Source organism: Homo sapiens, chromosome 8 (genome assembly GCF_000001405.40).
Source record: "Homo sapiens chromosome 8, GRCh38.p14 Primary Assembly".
Lineage (NCBI taxonomy): Eukaryota > Metazoa > Chordata > Mammalia > Primates > Hominidae > Homo > Homo sapiens.
Window position 1 is genome coordinate 38,042,693 of NC_000008.11, and position 19,943 is coordinate 38,062,635.

At 48.9% G+C, this 19,943-nt stretch overlaps 1 protein-coding gene across 1 annotated transcript in view, besides 1 other annotated feature; it reads left to right on the forward strand.

Annotated features, from left to right (window-relative positions):
* EIF4EBP1 (eukaryotic translation initiation factor 4E binding protein 1) overlaps nt 1-17,673 on the forward strand; it is a 29,832-nt gene extending 12,159 nt beyond the window's left edge. The window contains exons 2-3 of the mRNA NM_004095.4: nt 14,389-14,568; nt 17,212-17,673. Of these exons, the coding sequence (NP_004086.1) occupies nt 14,389-14,568; nt 17,212-17,243 (212 nt within the window). The 3' untranslated portion in view covers nt 17,244-17,673. The remainder of the gene's footprint in view (nt 1-14,388; nt 14,569-17,211) is intronic.
* Nucleotides 11,457-11,670: a silencer, noted in NCBI's record as "fragment chr8:37911667-37911880 (GRCh37/hg19 assembly coordinates)". NCBI's record gives its function as "represses an EF-1alpha promoter that drives an FKBP-Casp9 reporter gene in an ReSE screen in K562 erythroleukemia cells {active_cell/tissue: K562}" and the evidence as "EXISTENCE:reporter gene assay evidence [ECO:0000049][PMID:32094911]".
* Nucleotides 17,674-19,943: the final 2,270 nt, after the last annotated feature.

Consider the following 19,943-nt stretch of genomic DNA (forward strand, 5'->3'; position numbering starts at 1 on the left):
TTTAATCATCCCCTTGAAGACTTTATCTCCAAATACAGTTGCATTCCGAGGTACTGGGGTTGGGCTTCAACATAAGAGTTTTGGGGGCAGGCCGAGCATGGTGGCTCATGCCTGTAATCCCAGCACTTTGGGAGGTCAAGGCGGGCAGATCGCTTGAGGTCAGGAGTTCAAGACCAGCCTGGCCAACATGGCAAAACTCTGTCTCTACTGAAAATACAAAAAATTACCCAGGCGTGGTGGCAGGTGCCTATAATCTCAGCTACCAGGAGGAGGCTGAGGCAGGAGAATCTCTGGAACCAGGGAGGCGGAGGCTGCAGTGAGTTAAGATCATGCCACTGAACTCTAGTCTGGGTGACAGAGTGAGACCCCATCTCACACACACGAAAAAAAGTTTTTGGGAGAGATGCTATTCAACTATTCAGCTCATAACAGGGCCATTCCCCTTTCCAACTGGGACAGCAATCACTACTGTTTGTAATGGGAGGCATTTCAGAAGGTCATTCCCTATTGGTAATGAATTTCAGGGACAGCTTCACCCATAGGGTGCATTTGAAGTGTTTGGGAGGAGGTTAAGGAAGGGGAGGAGCTTGGCCAGCAATCAGAATAATTAGCTCAGCTATTTTGTTCTGAAAGTCTCTGTCAAAGCCAATTTTCTTTTCTTTTCTTTTCTTTTTCTTTTTTTTTTTTTTTGAGATGGAGTCTTGCTCTGTTGCCCAGGCTGGAGTGCAGTGGTGCGATCTTGGCTCACTGCAACCTCTGCCTCCTGGATTCAAGCGATTCTCCTGCCTCAGCCTCCTGAGTAGCTGGGACCACCCGGCTAGTTTTTGTATTTTTAGTAGAGACAGAGTTTCAACACGTTGGCATGCTGGTCTCAAACTCCTGACCTCAGGCGATCCACCTGCCTCGGCCTCCCAAAGTGCTGGGATAACAGGTGTGAGCTATCACACCTGGCCTGAAGCCAATTTTCAAAGAAACTGACCTATTCCCTCCCATGCCAGGGCCTCAGAGGGAGAGGCTGCCGATCGTCCCCATCTGGTATCCAGCAGCTTCATAAGACCCCTGGCCCCTGAGAAATGTTGGGATCTTGGTTCTCTTTGTGGAGGTCAGCGGTTGCGGGGCAGAGGTAAAGAAAAGTCTTGGACTGAGTGTGCTCTGCATCTCTCACCAGGATTTCCACCCCGGCAGTTCTGTCCTGCTTGTTAAATAGACCATCCAGCCAGAAAAGCCACCCAGACACATGTGATTCCTCCCTGGACTGTGTGGCGAGGAGGGAGGGAAGACCGAGATTCTGGCATGTCGGCGTATTTACCTCCAGGTTAACAGGGAGCTGCCTCAGAGCTGGAGTTCAGATTGTCCAGGGTGTTTTGCTCACTGGCTGTTGGCTTGGATCTGAGCAGAAGCATTTGGACCTCCCCCACCCCGGCCCTGTTGTGAAATGCTCTCCCTCTCCCTGGAATGGGAACAGCAGTTCTAGGAATTCCATCCTCGTACTCTCACTAAGCCTCACGTCCCCACATCCAATGGAAGAATGCTTCTGCCAAAGGAACCCCAGGGGAAAGTGAGGGCCATGCGCGGCTCAGTTTACAGAAGTCCTATCCAGCCGCAGAGTATGGGCACTGGAGGGCTATGGGGAAGCGCTCAAGGCAGGGAACATCCTGTTCTGACAAGCACCCAGAAGTCTAAGACCTCCTAATTTTTCCAGCTGAGAGTGTTAGCTAAGGGGTGGTAGCCTGGTCTGCCTTACTAATTTTATTTTATTTTGTAGAGACAGGGTCTCACTCTATCACCCAGGCTAGAGTACAGTAGCATGATCCCAGCTCACTGCAGCCTCAAACTCCTGGGCTAAAGCGATCCTCCTGCCTCAGCCTCTGGAGTAGCTGGGATCATAGGCGCACGCCATCATGCCAGGCTACTTTTTAAATTTTTTGTAGAGATGGGGGTCTCACTGTGTTGCCCAGGCTGGTCTCAAACTCCTGGCCTCAAGCAATTCTCATGCCTTGGCCTCCCAAAGCATTGTGATTGCAGGCATGATCCAGCCTTGCTAATTTTAAACAGTAGGAGGCATTTAGGATTGGAGTCGAGGTGGGTTAGGTTGGCCTCTGGACGGCTGTGAGGGGACAGCCTTTCTGGGCCTCAGTTTCCTCTTCTGCAAGGTGAAGCTCCTGCGTGGGGAGTTGTAAGGGGGAATAAGACCTAGCACGTCAGGCTGTGAGCACAGACCGGAGGGGATGACAGATGGCAACGATTGCTGTATGCACCTCGCCCGAAAATCTAAGCCTTCATTCATGCAGCACTCCAATGCTCCTTGGCCTCCAAAAATGCTTCCTGTTCCCGGCTTGTGACATCTTTCTTTGGTTGCGTATGTTCTCCCAAGTGATTTTCTCTTTAACAGCAATTATGTGAGTGTCACTTTATTCTCACACAAAGAATCTTGATGTTCTTTATTTTATTTAATCTTCACGATACTCCTCTGAGGTGTGGATTTTGTTATTCCCTCCCTCTTATAACTGAGGAATGAAAGTGCAACTTGGAGTTCAGGGACTGACATGTGGCAAGCTCAGGTTTGAGCCCAGAACATCTGCCTCCAAGCACTATGCTATTTGTACATTAAGTACCTGCCAACAAGGAGATCCTAAAAATAAATGGCACGTGCCTGGTGCTTTCAAAATAGTTTGAATGAGCCTAGTACAATGCCGTTGTTTTACAGGTGAGGAAACTAGAACCTAAGGGAATGTCTCTATGGCTTTATTTATTGTAATCCCAGAACTTTGGGAGGCCGAGGTGGGGGGATTGCTTGAGCCCACAAGTTCAAGACCAGTCAAGGCAACATGACAAAACCTTGTCTACAAAAAAAAAAAAAAAATTAGCTGGGCATGGTGGTGCATGCCTGTAGTCCCAGCTACTTGGGAGGCTGAGGCAAGAGGCTCACTTGAGCCCAGGAGGCAGAAGTTGCAGTAAGCCAAGATCACACTATTGTTCTCCAGCCTGGGCAGCAGACCGAGACTCTATCTCAAAAAATAATAATAATGATAATTAATTAATAGAAATATTTCCTTACTTTTTTTAGAGACAGATCTTGTTCTGTCTCCCAGACTACCGTGCAGTGGTAAAATTGTAGTTCCCTACAACCTTGAATTCTGGGTTCAAGCCATCCTCCTGCCTCAGCCTCCTAAGTAGCTGGGACTGCAGACATGCACCACAACACCTGACTAATTTTTTTTTTGTTTGTTTGAGACAGAGTCTTGCTCTGTCACCCAAGCTGGAGTGCAATGGTGCGATTTTGGCTCACTGCAACCTCTGCCTGGGTTCAAGCAATCCTCCTGCCTCAGCCTCCCAAGTAGCTGGGATTACAGGCGTCTGCCACCACGCCCAGCTAATTTTTGTATGTTTAATAGAGACAGGGTTTCACCATGTTGGTCAGGCTGGTCTCAAACTCCTGACCTCAAGTGATCCACCTGCCTTGGCCTCCCAGTGTGCTGGGATTACAGGCGTGAGCTTCCCCACCCGGCCTACACCTGGCTAATTTTTAACTTCTTTTGTAGAGATGGGATCGTGCTTTGTTACCCATGCTGGTCTTGAACCCCCCCATTGCTTTATATATTGAAAGCAAACTACTGTCACCACAAAGCATGCCTTGAAAAAAAAATATCATTCCTATATTTGGTGCACATTTGGAGTTTAAAATCCTGAAGGATACTGGCTAACAAACATGCTGAAGTTTATGATGGTTCTTGGTTTCCGTGGGCCTAAAAAGGAGGGAGGACACCCTCACCCTGTCCCTTCCAAGTGTCTCTCCTGAGTTGCTTACCTGTCCTCTGATTTATCCCTGCTTTGACTGATAATTGGTTGCTGGTATGGATGGAACTGAATAAATGGTGAAATTATGTCACCTGGACCCTGCAGGTCATGATAATAACTAGAATTGTATGGGGCTTACATTGTGTCAGCCACTGTTCAAATCCACACAGTAATCCTATGAAGTTGGCACTACCATCATCATCATCATCATTGTCGTCGCCAATCTGGAGAAGCAGAAACTGAGGCACAAAGATTTTAAGTCATAACTTGCCCAGAGTCATGAGAGCTAGCAAATGGAATGACAGAGCTGGGTTTCCAAAGGATTTCAGGTAGAATGAGCCTCAGTTATTGTCCCCAGATAGTTCAAGACCGAACCTTGAACTCTACCCCCAGCACACAACGGGCTGGATCCCAGCTACACAAATGGTTTGAGGTGTAGGGGTGCTCCTCTCTTCTTCCCTTGCCCTGCTGGGAGGCAGGGTTCTGGGTTTCCCTGCTCTGCATCTCTGGGTTGGCAATCAAGGTCAGCCTTAGCTCACCTCCCTCACCCCTCGGGCACTGGAGAACTGGGGTGAGATGGATGTTTCTCTGGGCCGGGGGTTTAGGGTCAGGCTGCTTGGAAGCAGGAAGATGGAGGACTTGGGATCTGTGTCCCTTGGTGATCTCCTCTTACGCCTGTCTGTGGACTTCACACACTTGGCTGTAATCACTTGTTTACGGGTCTTTCTCGACTAAATTACATAAGGTTTGGATCTAGGCACTTTCACTACATCTGACTTTTTTAAATCCCTAGCACCTCGCATGGTGCTAGTACAAAGTAGAGGTTCAGTGAGTAAGTAAATGAGACCAGCACACCTACTTTCAGGAAAAAAGGATTGAGCAAAGACCGGCAAATATGTGGGTAAGGATTAACATTTTTGTCCCTGGATTGCAGTAGTCTCTATACTTGAATACAGTTCATGGGAGTTAAGGTGTAGTGTAGGGTTTTGGGTTTTGTTTTTTTTTTTTTTTTGAGACAGAGTCTCACTCTCTTGCCCAGGGTGGAATGCAGTGATGCGATCTCAACTCACTGCAACATCTGCCTCCCAGGTTCAAGCAGTTTTCCTGCCTCAGCCTCCCAAGTAGCTGGGATTACAGGCACATGCCACCACGCCCAGCTAATTTTTGTATTTTTAGTAAAGACAGGGTTTTGCCATGTTGGCCAGGCTGGTCTCGAACTCCTGACCTCAGGTGATCCACCCACCTTGGCCTCCCAAAGCACTGAGATTACAGGCATGAGCCACTGCGCCCAGCCTGAATCACTTTTTTGATAAATGAGGTTTTTTTTATTTCTGTATTTTCTCTCTTCCTCTCCCCTCATTGTCCCAATAAAATTACATTTCAAAGTTTTAAAAATCCAGCCAGGTGCAGTGGCACACACCTGTAATCCCAGCTCCTCAGGAGGCTGAGGCGGGAGGATCACTTGAGCCCAGAAGTTTGAGTCTAGCCTGGGCAACATAGCAAGATTCTGTCTTTAAGGAAAACAAAAAACAAAAACAGGCTGGGTGCAGTGGATCACTTGAGCCCAGGAGTTCCAGCCCACCCTAGGCAACATGGTAAAACCCTGTCTCTACAAAAAAGTATATACAAAAATTAGCTGGGTGTGGTGACACTTGCCTGTAGTCCCAGCTACTCAGGAAGCTGAGGTGGGAGGATCACCTGAGCCCAGGAGGTCCAAGGTTGCAGTGAGCCATGATGGCACCACTGCACTCCAGCCTGAGTGACAGAGCAAGACCCTGTTTCAAAAAAAAAAAAATTTAAACTAAAATTAAAAGTAAACATTTGTTGTTTTTATTATGATGATTCTTGAGCCAAGTACTATCTATAATAATAGCATTTCCACTTTTATATATATATATTTTTTAAAAAAAGCAGAGTTAATAATTGCTTTGTTTTAAAAATGTGCTTAGTTTTCATTTAGGTTTTCCCAAACCTTCCAGAAGCTCTCTAAAATGCCTCACAGTAAGGTCTTGCACACAGTTGGACTTCTAGATTTATCTGCCCATTTTTTCCCTCTCTCCTAAACTAAGACAAGATTTGGAGTAACAGTTTGGCTGCTCCAGCCCTGCCACACAACTGTCAATGTGGGGTTCCCTGAAGCCCTAGTCTTTCTATAATTTTGGCAGAACACATCTTACTGTATTCTTTCTGAAATGTCTCTATGGCCAGGTGCAGTGGCTCACACCTGTAATCCCAGCACTTTGGGAGGCTGAGGCAGGAGGATCATTTGAAACCAGGGGTTTGAGACCAGCCTGGGTAACATAGCGAGACCCTGTCTCCAAAAATAAAATTTGATTTAATTTAAAGAAAAAAGAGAGGCCGGGTACGGTGGCTCATGCCTGTAATCCCTGCACTTTGGGAGGCCGAGACGGGTGGATCACCTGAGGTCAGGAATTCAAGACCAGCCTCGACATGTAGAAACCCCATCTCTACTAAAAATACAAAATTAGCCGGGCTTGGTGGTGCAGGCCTGTAATCCCAGCTACTCGGGAGGCTGAGGCAGGAGAATTGCTTGAATCTGGGAGGCGGAGGTTGCAGTGAGCCGAGATTGCGCCATTGCACTCCATCCTGGGCAACAAGAGCGAAACTCCGTCTCAAAAAAAAAAAAAAGAAAAGAAAAGAAAAAAGAGAAGTATCTCTGTTATACTTTTACTTGATTTGTGTTTGGCAGGGGATAAGATGCAGGTTGAAGTGAATTTTCTGTCAGATTGTGAAGGCGTCAAGGCACCGTTTGCAGGCTTCCAGTCTTGCCATTTAAGACATTTTACGCCCTTCTCATTCCCTGTCCTTGTGTATACCTGAAAATCCTATAAAGGATTTTCTCTTTATCGCCAGTATTGTGAATTTCACAATGATGTTAACTGAGTGTTTTGAATTCATTGCACTACTTACTGAAAGGGGAGCTTCAATTTCAAGACATCTCTTTCAATTCAGGAAAATTTCCGTCTTCTTTTTTTTTTTTTTTTTCTTGAGACAGGTTCTCGCTCTGTCCCCCAGGCCGGAGTGCAGTAGCGTGATCTCAACTCACTGCAACCTCCACCTTGTGGGTTTAAGCAATCCTCCTGCCTCAGCCTCCCGAGTAGCTGGGATTATAGACACACACCACCATGCCTGGCTAATTTTTGTATTTTTAGTAGAGATGGGTTTTCACCATGTTGTCTAGGCTGGTCTTAAACTCTTGATCTCAAGTGATCTACCCACCTCGGCCTCCCAAAGTGCTGGGATTACAGGCGTGAGCCACCACACCTGGCCTTTCTTCATATTTTTAAAGTAAATTCCCTTTTATTAGTTTCTCTTTTCTCCTTCTGGACTTCCTGCCATCCAATATTGGACCCCTAATTTATTATCTTTTTGCCTATTGTTCATCTCTTTGTCCTTTTTCTTTTTTCTTTTTTTTTTTGAGATGGAATGTTTCTCTGTCCCCAGGCCCGGAGTGCAGTGGCACAATCTCGGCTCACTGCAGCCTCCGCCTCCTGGGTTCAAGCGGTTCTCGTGCCTCAGCCTCCTGAATAGCTGGACTACAGGTGTGCACCACCACACCCAGCTAATGTTTTGTATTTTTAGTAGAGACGGGGTTTCACCATGTTGGCCAGGCTGGTCTTGAACTCCTGATCTCATGTGATCCACCCGCCTCAGCCTCCCAAAGTGTTGGGGTTGTATACGTGAACCACTGCACCCGGCCTCTTTTGTTTTTCTTTAAGATTTTCTGCTTCCTTTATTACCTGTTTCCTCCTGTTGATTTGCTTAGATCTCGCCTTAAATGCTACAAGCCTTTCTCAGAAATGTGTGGGAACATTTGACTGGTTGGTTTTTTAAATTTTTTAAAATTTAGTTTTTGACACAGGGTTTCACTCTGTCAATCAAACTGGAGTATAGTGGTGCAGTCTTAGCTCACTGCAGCCTTGGACCTCCTGGGCTCTGGTGATCCTCCCACCTCTGCCTCCTGGGTAGCTGGAACTACAGACGTGTGCCACCACGCTTGGCTAATTTTTGTCTTTTTTGTAAAGACAGGGTTTTACCGTGTTGCTCAGGCTGGTCTCAAACTCCTGGGCTCAAGCAATCCGCCTGCCTCGGTCTTTTCTTTCTTTCTTTCTTTTTTGAAAGACAGGGTCTCGCTCTTTCGCTCAGGCTACGGTGCAATGTCATGATTATAGCTCACTGCAGCCTCAACTTCCTAGGCTCAACTGATCCTCCCACCTCAGCCTTCCAGAGTGTTGGGATTACTTACAGGTGTGAACCACTGCACCGGGCCTGGCTGTTTTTATTTAAGGGTGGGGAACTCAGGAGCTGACCAGGAGTCCCTTGTGTGGCCCAGAGACTGATGGGTTCCATCTGGTGGCTAGCTGGTTTTATTCACTGTGGACCCCCATGCCACAATCAGTTTCTGTAGGTCTTTATCTTCACTCTTTATTCTGAAGCAGGGGAGAGGAGAGGGCTTAAGGCTCACCATTCAGGAGGTCAACTTTAATTTCTCTGTCACCCCTCTCCTTGGGGCAAGGGACACCTGGCACCCCTCTGGTAAGTTTGCTTAAGAGAGTAAACCTCAGGGCAGCTGCTAGATGCTGGTAAGAACCTGGGGTTTCCATTTTCCATACAGACTTCCAAGCAGTCTCCCTGTTATCAGCCCCCATCCCCAGATTCCATGCTGTGCCTAATTCCTGAACCTTCCTGGGGTTCTCTGGGGCAAACGGAGAACTTGCTCCACCCCCACCTCCCTGCATTTCAGTGTCACCCGCTTCCTCCCCATGAGATCGTTGACCGCTCCTGTACTTGCCTCTGTCTTTACCTGTTGTGATTTGGGGTGACAGTTGGAGCTCTCCCTGCATCCAGGTTGGAGAACGTGCTTGTACTTCTCATTCTTGGTGTTTGGCATGACTTTTGAGAGGAGTAGGAGAAAAATGTCATGGCTCTGCCATCTTGAAGTCACTTTGATCCTCAAAAGTACTTCATACTCTTTGTAGTGACCTAGTGGAGGTGGGTCATTTACCCCAGTGTACAGAGGGGTCCAAGACAGGCCTGCTGATGACATAGGACCTCAGTTAAAGAGGTTTTGTTTTCCTTTTATTTATATTTTTTTTTATTTTTTTGTGACAGAGTCGTGCTCTGTCTCCCAGGCTGGAGTGCAGTGGCACGATCTCGGCTCACTGCAACCCCCGCCTCCCAGGTTCAAGTGATTCTCCTGCCTCAGCCTCCTGAGTAGCTAGGATTAGGTGTGTGCCACCATGCCCGGCTAATTTTTGTGTTTTTAATAGAGGCGGGATTTCGCCATGTTGGCCAGGCTGGTCTCGAACTCCTGACCTCAGGTGATCTGCCTGCCTCGGCCTCCCAAAGTGCTGGGATTACAGGCGTGAGCCACTGCGCCCAGCCTGTTTTACTTTTAAAGATGAGGTCTCGCTGTGTTGGCCAAGCTGGTCTGGAACTCCCAGCCTCAAGTGATCCTCCAACCTTGGCCTCCCAAACTGTTGGGATTTACAGATGTGAGTCACTGCGCCCAGCCGTAGCCCCCACCTTTGGCTAAAGAGTTTTATGTGGAGGCCACCCTAGCGTGATGCCACTCCACCTGCTGAACACACACACAGGTTTCTGTCAGACCACACCTGACCAGCAGCCCTGAAGGGACCTTGGCATCCATCCCACCCACTCGTGTTTCCATTTCCTGACCTTGTACATGGGCCAAGTGTCCCCAGCACCAAGTAGCTCTGCAGCAGGTGTCTTCAGCCAGGCTTTAAGGTTTGTCTTTTTTTTTTTTTAGACAGGGTCTCGCTCTGTCTCCCAGACTGGAGTCCAATGGTGCAACCACTGCTCACCACAGCCTCAATCTCTCAGGCTCAAGCGATCCTCCCATCTCAGCCTCCCGCGTAGCTAGGACTCCAAGCGCATGCCACCATGCCTGGTTAATTTTTTAAAAATTTTAGTAGGCCAGGTGCAGTGGCTCATGCCTGTAATCCCAGCACTTTGGGAGGCCGAGGCAGGCGGATCACCTGAGGTCAGGAACTCAAGACCTGCCTGGCCAACATGGCAAAACCCTGTCTCCACTGAAACTACAAAAATTAGCCAGGCATCTGTAATCCCAGCTACTTGGGAGGCTGAGGCAAGGAGAATTGCTTGAACCCAGGAGGCAGAGGTTACAGTGAGCCGAGATCGCACCACTGCACTCCAGCCTGGGCAACAGAATGAGACTCCATCTCAAAAAAAAAAAAAAAATTGTAGATAAGGTCTTGCAATGTTGCCCAGGCTGGTCTCAAACTCCTGGGCTCAAGTGATCCTCCCACCTCAGCCTCCCAAAGTGCTGGGATTGCAGGTGCGAGCCACCTCACCCAGCCTTCGGCTGACTTTCTGCATGCTGCTGTTTACTCCTCACAGACCCCTCCCCAACTGAAATCTCTGCTTTTATTAGGTAAAATTAGGATTCTTATTTTTAAGTAACTGTGGTAGCCATAGAACAAAGGGCACAGAGGCTTTTTCTTTCACTTTTAAGTATAATTAATGATTTAATTTTTTTTGAGACAGAGTCTTGCTTGCTCTGTTGCCCAGGCTGGAGTGTAGTGGCATGATCTTGGCTCACTGCAACCTCCGCCTCCCAGGTTCAACAATTCTCCTGCTTCAACCTCCCAAGTAGCTGGGATTACAGGGGTGTGCCACCACGCCCAGCTAATTTTTGTATTTTTAGTAGAGACAGGGTTTCACCGTGTTGACCAGGCTGGTCTTGAACTCCTGACCTCAGGTGATCTGCCTGCCTCTGCCTCCCAAAGTGCTAGGATTACAAGCATGAGCCACTGTACCTGGCCTGTTTTTTTGTTTTGTTTTGTTTTGAGACAGGGTCTTGTTCTGTCGCCCAGGCTGGAGGGCAGCGGCGCGATCTCAGCTCACTGGAGCGCAGTGGCGCCATCTCAGCTCACTGCAGCCTCTGCCTCCCAGGTTCAAGCGATTCTCCTGCCTCAGTCCAGAGTAGCTGGGATTACAGGTGTGTGCCACCACGCCTGGCTAATTTTTGTATTTTTGGTAGAGACGGGGTTTCACCATGCTGGCCAGGCTGGTGAAAGCAAGATCTTCAAGAAGTATTTGTATTCCCATGTTCATAGCAGCATGATTCACAATAACTGAGAAGTGGAAGCAACCCAGGTGTCCATCAGTCAGAGGAAAGGATAAGCAAAATGCGCGCACACTCTCAATGGGATATTATTCAGCCTTCAGCAGGAAGGAAATCCTATCACATGCTACAGTGTGGAGGGACCTTGAGGACATTATGCTAAGTGAAATAAGCCGGTCATGAAAAAGCAAATCCTGTATGATTTCACTATATAAGATACCTAGAGTAGTCAAATTCAGAGAGACAGAAAGTAGAACCCTGCTTGCCAGGGCCTAGAGGGAGTGGGGAAGGGGAGTTGTTGTAGAGTTTCAGTTTCACATGATGAAAACGTTTTGGAGATGATTGGCGGTGATGGTAGCACAACACCCTACCGAAAATGTTTAAGATGGTCAATGTTATGTGTATTTCACCACAATTTTTAAAAAGTCACCAGGGGCTGATGACCTTTAAAGAGGCTCTCCAGATGGTTGCTGGCCCCTGGGCGCTTCTTTGAGACTGTTGAATCTTTAACTCTTAGGTTTCACGCTATGATAAACAAACCAACAACAACAAAAAAAGTGTGGCTCATGTCTGTAACCCCAGCACTTCGGGAGGCTGAGGCCAGTGGATCACTTGAGGTCAGGAGTTCAAGACCAGCTTGGCCAACATGGTGAAACCCTGTCTCTACCAAAAAATACAAAAATTAGCCGGGCGTGATAGCACATGCCTGTTGTCCCAGCTACTGGGGAGGCTGAGGCGGGAGGATTGCTAGAACCCAGGAGGCAGAGATTGCAGTGAGCCAAGATTGTGCCACTGCATTCCAGCCTGGGTGACAGAGCAAGACTCCATCTCAAAACAAACAAACAAAAAGCAAAGTTGGGGGGAAACAAGAAGGGGGGCACTCTTGCCGAGTCTCAAAGATTAAGAAACAACAGAAAAAAAGTGGTCCCATCTGGAGCCAGGATGTCCAGCCACTTGTCCACTGAGTCCCCACCCCGCTGCCTGGACCCTGGGGTCTCTGGGCTTCCCTCCCCTCTGGGGAGGAGAGATTGTACAACCCCAAGCCTTGCAGAGTGGAGCAGTGCCACATCTGGCCTCTAGAACCAAAACAAATCTGGGTCACTTTTTAAAAAAAAGAGTTAGAAATTGGTCTTCCCTTACCTCCCCTCACTGTCACCCCAGCCCTGCAAAGAGAGGGCACCACTGCTCTCCATTTGTAATCTGGGCTCATAGGCACTCAGACCTAGAAGGTGCATGGGTCTTTATTTTACAGATGAGGAGATGGAGGCCCAAAACAGGGGGTGCAAGGAGCAAGGTGCATAGGGTCACACAGCTGACTGGGAACGGAGCCCAAATGCACCCTGGTTCTTTACACCCCTCCTCCTAAGAAACAGCTGTGCGCTGGAGTCCCATAGGCAATGAGCAGGGCTGTCAGCTTCAGTATCACTGCCTCTCCTGCAAGGGGACAGGAGAGTAAGACCAGTGACTGCCTGGAGGGGCCACAGCCAGACTAGAGGAACACAGCCAGCAGGTGAAGTTTATCTTTAGGTATCTCTCTGCATTCCTCTGCCCTTCAGCATCTCACGTCATCCTCAGCACAGAGCCCCGTTTCAGGAACTCACACTCAGACTCCGAGATGGAAATTGGTTCCTTTCCAGGGGTTTACAGAGTCCAGTGCTGAGCATCAAGAAATGAATCTCAATATGTACAACTATTATGGATCCATAAAAATTAAAAATCAAAAAAGTAAAATAAAGTGTAAGAAATGAATCTCAGCTGTTGGAATGCTACTCATCATAGCCCCTAAGTGAAGGAGAGATTTCAAGGTTATTGCTAAGGAAGGGCATTCCTGAAGTCCTTAAATCATGATTCCCAAACTTGGGTTATTCATATTTTATCTGCACAATTATTACCATACCTTGCATTCCACTTGTACAGATATTTAATATTTCTTTATATCACCTTAGCTTTTGAATTTAATTTACATTATTTTATTATAGAATCTATAATATATTATTATATTATTGTATATTAAAAGGAATTGCTATCACTACTATATATGGAACACCGGATTCACTTGCCATAAATAGAAGGTAGCTATAAAAAGATACAAAGGGGCCGGGCACGGTGGCTCACACCTGTAATCCCAGCACTTTGGGAGGCCGAGGCAGGCAGATCACGAGGTCAAGAGTTTGAGACCAGCCTGGCCAACATGGTGAAATCCCGTCTCTACTAAAGATACAAAAAATTAGCTGGGCATGGTGGCACGCACCTATAATCCCAGCTACTTGGGATGGTGGGGTAGAATTCCAAGGTCAGTGACACACTGGCAGGACACACTGGGGGCCTCACAAAGGAGGGGCTCAGCAGGAGAGCCCACCCTTCACTCCTGCCTCTGGCTCTTCTCCGCAAAGCCCAGGCATTTCTCTCTTTTTTTTTTGGAACTGTCTTTTTGAGATAGGGTCTCACTGCAGCCTGGACCTCCTGGGCTCAAGCAATCCTCCCGTCTCAGCTTCCCGAGTAGCTGGGACTACAGGCACGTACCCATCATGCCCGACTCATTTTAACATTTTTGTAGAGATGAGGTCTCTCTAAGTTGTCCAGGCTAGTCTCAAGCTCCTGGGCTCAAGCAGTCCTCCCACGGTGGCCTCCCAAAGTGCTGAGATTACAGGTGTGAGCTACCACACCTGGCAAAAGTTCTTATTTTTACTACTCTGGTTGAATCACAAGTATTTTCTGTTTGGTCATTTGTAAAATGCAGCTATTCTGGGTATCCCACAGGAGTGCTGTAAGGACAGGACTGAATAATGACTAGAAATGCATTTTTTCCACCGTGGTATGTGATTGTCATGGGTAATTAACACTAAGCCCAGGTGGGTGAGTGAGCTGAGGGGCTATAGGGACAGAGCACAGTGTGCACAGAGCTCTGGGAAGACACAGGTGCAGTTGGTGGCCTGCAGACCCCTTCCATTGGATCATTCCATGTGAAGGGGAGTTGGGGCCGTTTGGAGGTAGCAGAGTTCTGGGTGGCAGCCAGGCCCCCAAATAAGCCTCACTACTCTGGCTTTTTTTTTTTTTTTTTTATGAAAAGGAGTCTCGCTCTGTTACCCAGGCTGGTGTACAGTGGTGCAATCGGCTCACTGCAACCTCTGCCTCCCAGGTTCAAGTGATTCTCCTGCCCCAGCCTCCTGAGTAGCTGGGATTACAGGCTACCACCACCACGCTGGCTAATTTTTGTATTTTTAGTAGAGACGGGGTTTCACCATGTTAGCCAGGCTGGTCTCGAACTCCTGACCTCAGGTGATCCACCCATGTTGGTCTCCCAAAGTGCTGGGATTATGGGCATGAGCCACCGCACCCAGCCTCCTCTGGGTTTTTCAGGAGAATCTGCTGCCTCTACTGCAGCCACGCCTTTAAAAAGTGGAAAAACCGGCAGGCAAGAGGCTGCAGATGGCTTGACCAACCTCCCTGTTCCCTTCTAGGTACCAGGATCATCTATGACCGGAAATTCCTGATGGAGTGTCGGAACTCACCTGTGACCAAAACACCCCCAAGGGATCTGCCCACCATTCCGGGGGTCACCAGCCCTTCCAGTGATGAGCCCCCCATGGAAGCCAGCCAGAGCCACCTGCGCAATAGCCCAGAAGATAAGCGGGCGGGCGGTGAGTGTCGGGGCTTGGCCAGGCTCTACCTTGGGAAAGGGAATGTATGAGGCTCCTGGAGTCCATCCACTGGGGGCAATTCCAGGGAGGAGGAACAACAGGGACTCTGCCCTACCCTCTAAGGAGCAGCTCAGAGCCCAGAGGGTGAGAGTAGGGGTGGGGAGGTTGAACTCTTCATTGGTAGCAACTTTCCCCCTGAAAGGGGCCCAGGCACCTCAGGAAAGGTGATCTGGCACCTTTGGGTCATGTAATTAGCGGGGAGTTTGTTTGAAATGGCAGCGGCTGCACACAGCAACTTTCGTAAGCATGTGCCTCTGTATAATTGTCTCTGAAGCATTTCCACTTGGAACACACCCATGATGTTTGTGGTGCAAGAGACAAGTTATCAAAGACACAGTGTACTTGTCCTTTGGGAAATTATATGTCTACAAGATAAGAAATACATCCGGGATGCCTCCTGTTGGGCTGTTGGTCCCCTAGTGGATCTTCATGAAGGCAGGTAGAAACAATGCAGCCAGTTGTCTCTGCCGATTTGACATTTGGTAGCTGGGTCCTTCCTGCTGTCCCCACCTCCCGAGTAATTAGAGCAGCCACTGTGGTAGTGGTGTAAGTGAATGCACTCTTTGTGGCATCCTGACTGGCTTGGCAGAGTGTTGGAGTTCTCTGCTGCAAGATGATGCAGCATAAGCACTTCCGGGCAACTATAATCAGATTGGAACCCGCCGACCCTTCACCCGGAAGGCCGTACCCCAGGCCCAGACAGGAAGCAGCAGGGACCTCAGCTTGGCTGGCTCTGCTAACAGCAGCAGAATTAATCTCCCCAGGGCCTGCAGGACATGATTCATAATTACCTTGGGAACCTCACAGTACAAGACAGACAATAGTTGCCTGTGTCTTAGTCTGTTTTTTTATGGCTGTAACTGAATACCTGAGACTGGGTAATTTATGAAGAAAAATGGTTTATTTCTTACAGTTCTAGAGGCTGGGAAGGCCAAGGGCATGGTGCCCGCATCTGCTGGGCTTCTGGTGAGGGCCTCCTGCTGCATCATAACATGGCGGAAGGCATCACAGGGCAAGAGGGGCACATGAGAGAGAACCAAGCTGCCTTTTTATAACACTCTTGTGATAACTAGCCCACTCCTGTGGTAACCCATTAATCCAGGAATGGGCTAATCCATTCATGAGGACAGAGCCTTCATGACCCAATTACCTCTTAACGGCCCCAACTCTTAATACTGTTACATTGGGGATTAAGTTTCTGTATGAATTTCAAACCATAGCATTCCAGCCCTGGACCCCCCAAACTCATGTCCTTCTCATATACACATATATTAATTTGGTCCCCATATCCCCAAAGACTTAACACGTTGCAGTCCTAGCTCAAAAGTTCAAAGTCCAGAATTTCATCTGAATCAGACAAGACTCACAGCATGATTCATCTCAAGCTTAATTTCCTTCCAGCTGTGAGCCTGTGAAACTAAACAAGTTATCTACTTTCAAAAAATAGGGGCTGTCCCTGGCCCCTAAAAACATCAGCTGGTGGCCAGGCACAGTGGCTCATGCCTGAAATCCCAGCACTCTGGGAGGCTGAGGCAGGATGAATACTTGAGGCCAGAAGTTCAATACCAGCCTGGGCAACAATGCAAGACCCCATCTCTACATAAAATTTTAAAATTAGCCAGGCATGGTGGTGCATGCCTGTAATCCCAACTACTTGGGAGGCTGAGGCCAGAGGATCATTTGAGCCCAGGAGGTCAAGGCTGCAGTGAGCTATGATTGCGTAACTGCACGCCAGCCTGGCCAAGAGAGTGAGACCCTGTCTCTAAAGAAAAAAGCAAAAACAACAAGAGTCAGACGAAATGATATAGTCTGGATATTTGTCCCTGCCCAAATCTCATGTTAAATTGTAATCCCCAGTGTTGGAGGTAGGGCCTGGTGGGAGGTGTTTGGGTCGTGGGGACAGATCCCTCACAGCTTGGTGCTGTCCTCATGATAGTGAATGAGTTCTCTCGAGATCTGGTTGTTGTAAAGTGTGGGAGCGCCACTCCACCCTCTCTCTTGCTCCTGCTTCCTCCATGTGACATGCCTGCTCCCGCTTTGCTTTCCACCATGACGAAAAGCCCCCTGAGGCCTCCCCAGAAGCCAAGCTGAGGCCGGCGTCATGCTTGTACAGCCTGCAGAACCGCGAGCCAGTTAAACCTCTTTTCTTGGCTGGGCACGGTGGCTCGCACCTGTAATCCCAGCACTTTGGGAGGCTGAGGAGGGTGGATCATCTGAGATCAGGAGTTCGAGACCAGCCTGGCCAACATGGCAAAACCCCGGGTCTACTAAAAATACAAAAATTAGCTGGGTGTGGTGGTGGGTGCCTATAATCCCAGCTACTCTTTTGGGAGGCTTAGGTAGGAGAATCGCTTGAACCCAGGAGGCGGAGGTTGCAGTGAGCCGAAATTGGGCCACTGCACTCCAGCCTCGGAGACAGAGTGAGACTCCATCTCAAAAAAAAAAAACAAAAAAACAAAAAAAAACTTATTTTCTTTATAAATTACCCAACCTCAGGTATTTCTTTATAGCAATGAAAGAATGGCCTCATATACCAAGCATTCACCCATTGTTGACCTGGCCCTCTGTCCCCTCTCTCCCCAGGTGAAGAGTCACAGTTTGAGATGGACATTTAAAGCACCAGCCATCGTGTGGAGCACTACCAAGGGGCCCCTCAGGGCCTTCCTGGGAGGAGTCCCACCAGCCAGGCCTTATGAAAGTGATCATACTGGGCAGGCGTTGGCGTGGGGTCGGACACCCCAGCCCTTTCTCCCTCACTCAGGGCACCTGCCCCCTCCTCTTCGTGAACACCAGCAGATACCTCCTTGTGCCTCCACTGATGCAGGAGCTGCCACCCCAAGGGGAGTGACCCCTGCCAGCACACCCTGCAGCCAAGGGCCAGGAAGTGGACAAGAACGAACCCTTCCTTCCGAATGATCAGCAGTTCCAGCCCCTCGCTGCTGGGGGCGCAACCACCCCTTCCTTAGGTTGATGTGCTTGGGAAAGCTCCCTCCCCCTCCTTCCCCAAGAGAGGAAATAAAAGCCACCTTCGCCCTAGGGCCAAGAGTTGGGCCCCGTCTGAGCTTTTTTCAACTCTGTTTGGTAACTAACACCAGCTGCTATCTGTACAGTGCTGCTGCTTTTTTTTTTTTTTTTTTTTTGAGACGGAGTTTCACTCTTGTGGCCCAGGCTGGAGTGCAATGGCGCAATCTCAGCTGATTGCAACCTCCACCTCCTGGGTTCAAGCAATTCTCCTGCCTCAGCCTCCCGAGTAGCTGGGATTACAGGTGCCCGCCACCATGCCCAGCTAGTATTTTTTTGTATTTTTGTAGAGACAGGGTTTCACCATGTTGGCCAGGCTGGTCTCGAACTCTTGACCTCAGGTGATCCACCCGCCTTGGCCTCCCAAAGTGCTGGGATTACAGGTGTAAGCCACCGTGCCCAGCCTTGTACAGTGCTTCTAAAGCGTGGGCCTGTCCTTATTTGATTCTGACTCTGATCCTGTGGGTAAGTAGAACAACTGTTATCCTCACTTTACAGCTGAGAAGACTGGCACAAGAACAGGTAAAATCGTGCAGCTGCTGAATGGCACATGGGACTGGATTTGAGTCCTGCTACTCTTTTTTTTTTTTTTTTCCGAGACGAAGTCTTGCTCTGTCTCCCAGGCTGGAGTGCAGTGGCACAGTCCTAGCTCACTGCAGCCTCAAACTCCTAGGTTCAAGCAATCCTCCTGCTTCAGCCTCCTGAGTAGCTGGGACTACAAGTTCACACCACCACCTGGCTAAGTTTTTTGTGAGTAGAGATAAGGTCTTGCTATGTTGCCCAGGCTGGTCTTGAACTCCTGGTCTCAAGTGATCCTCCCACCTCAGCGTTCCAAATTGTTGGGATGACAGATGTGAGCCACCACGCCCAGCCCATACCCTGGTATTCTTGATCTCTTGTTTTTCAGTAGCAAGGCAGCTGCCTCGCTTCTGTGCTTTCTCCCCCTTCTCTCAACCCCAAGCCTGTCGAGTTTGGCACCTTCCCGTCAGGGCCCATTCCATGCAAGAGTCAAAGGGAAGAGCCCCTGCCTTGGCCAGTGTGGCATCTGATCTGCGGGCACTCGACCTTTGCCAATTGATCGCTTTGTGTGAGCTGTCATGTGTGGCACAAACACAGACAAGCTCTCTGCCTTGAAAATTTCATTGAAATGTAAGATTTGCCCGAAAGTAAAGGTAGCATAGGCTGGGCACAGTGGTTCAAGCCTGTAATCCCAGGATTTTGGGAGGCTGAGGTGGGAGGATTGATTGAGGCCAGGAGTGGGAGACCAGTCTGGGCAACGCAGTAAGACCCCGTCTCTACAGAAAATTTTTTAAGTAGCCAGACATGGTGGTGCACACCTGTGGTCCTAGCCACTCAGGAGGCTGAGGTGGGAGGAACACTTGAGCCCAGGAGTTCAAAGCTGTGGTGAGCCACGATTGTGCCACTGCACTCCAGTGACAGAGTAGAGGCTTCATGGAGGTGATGCTACAGCTGGACCCTGGGAATGAGTGGGTTGGGGGAGGCAGGGGCCCAGTGTTGCCAAGCTCAGATGGTCTTGGGGAGCTGGGGTGTTCAGGGAAGAGACATAGTAGCCTGCTTTGGTCAGAGCAGGCAGTTTGTATGGGTGAGAATGACTTTAACAAATGGCCAAAGAAGGGTGAGGTTTCTGAAGGTCTTGAATGGTAACTAGGCAGAGATCTTTGCTGAGAAGCAATAGGAATTTCTTATTACAGGGTATGCTGGTGGGTGGATGGCCTATGAACAAGAGGCAGTGGCTGGCATTTACTTAACAAGCTCCGAGCACATAGCACTTGTCCACCTGCTGTTTGGAGAGCAGCAGACCTTCAGTGGCCAAGTTGCTTGCTTGGCCTTTTCTATAGCTGGGTTGCAGCCCCCTTCCCTCACAAGGACTGAAAGCAGCTGAGTCCAGGTGCATGGTGATGTGTGGCAGGCCTGGCCTTTGGCACGTTGCCTCCAAGCACGCAGCAAAGTCTGTCCGTATGGATGGAAAAGAGAGGCTAGGGATGGGCCACCACTGGTGCAAAGAATAATGAAAGCTTCAAGTAGGCTCAAAGGAGAGATTGGGTCAGCCTTCCCAATCCCGTAACTTTCCAATAAAAGCATCATGCTCCAAGGCCAGGCACAGTGGTTCCTGCCTGTAATCCCAAAGCTTTGGGAGGTCAAGGTGGGAGGATCACTTGAGGCCAGGAGTTCGAGACCAGCCTGGGCAACATAGTGAGACCCCATCTCTACTACCAAAAAAATTTACAAATTAGCTAGACATGGTGGTGCACACCTGTAGTCCCAGCTGCTTG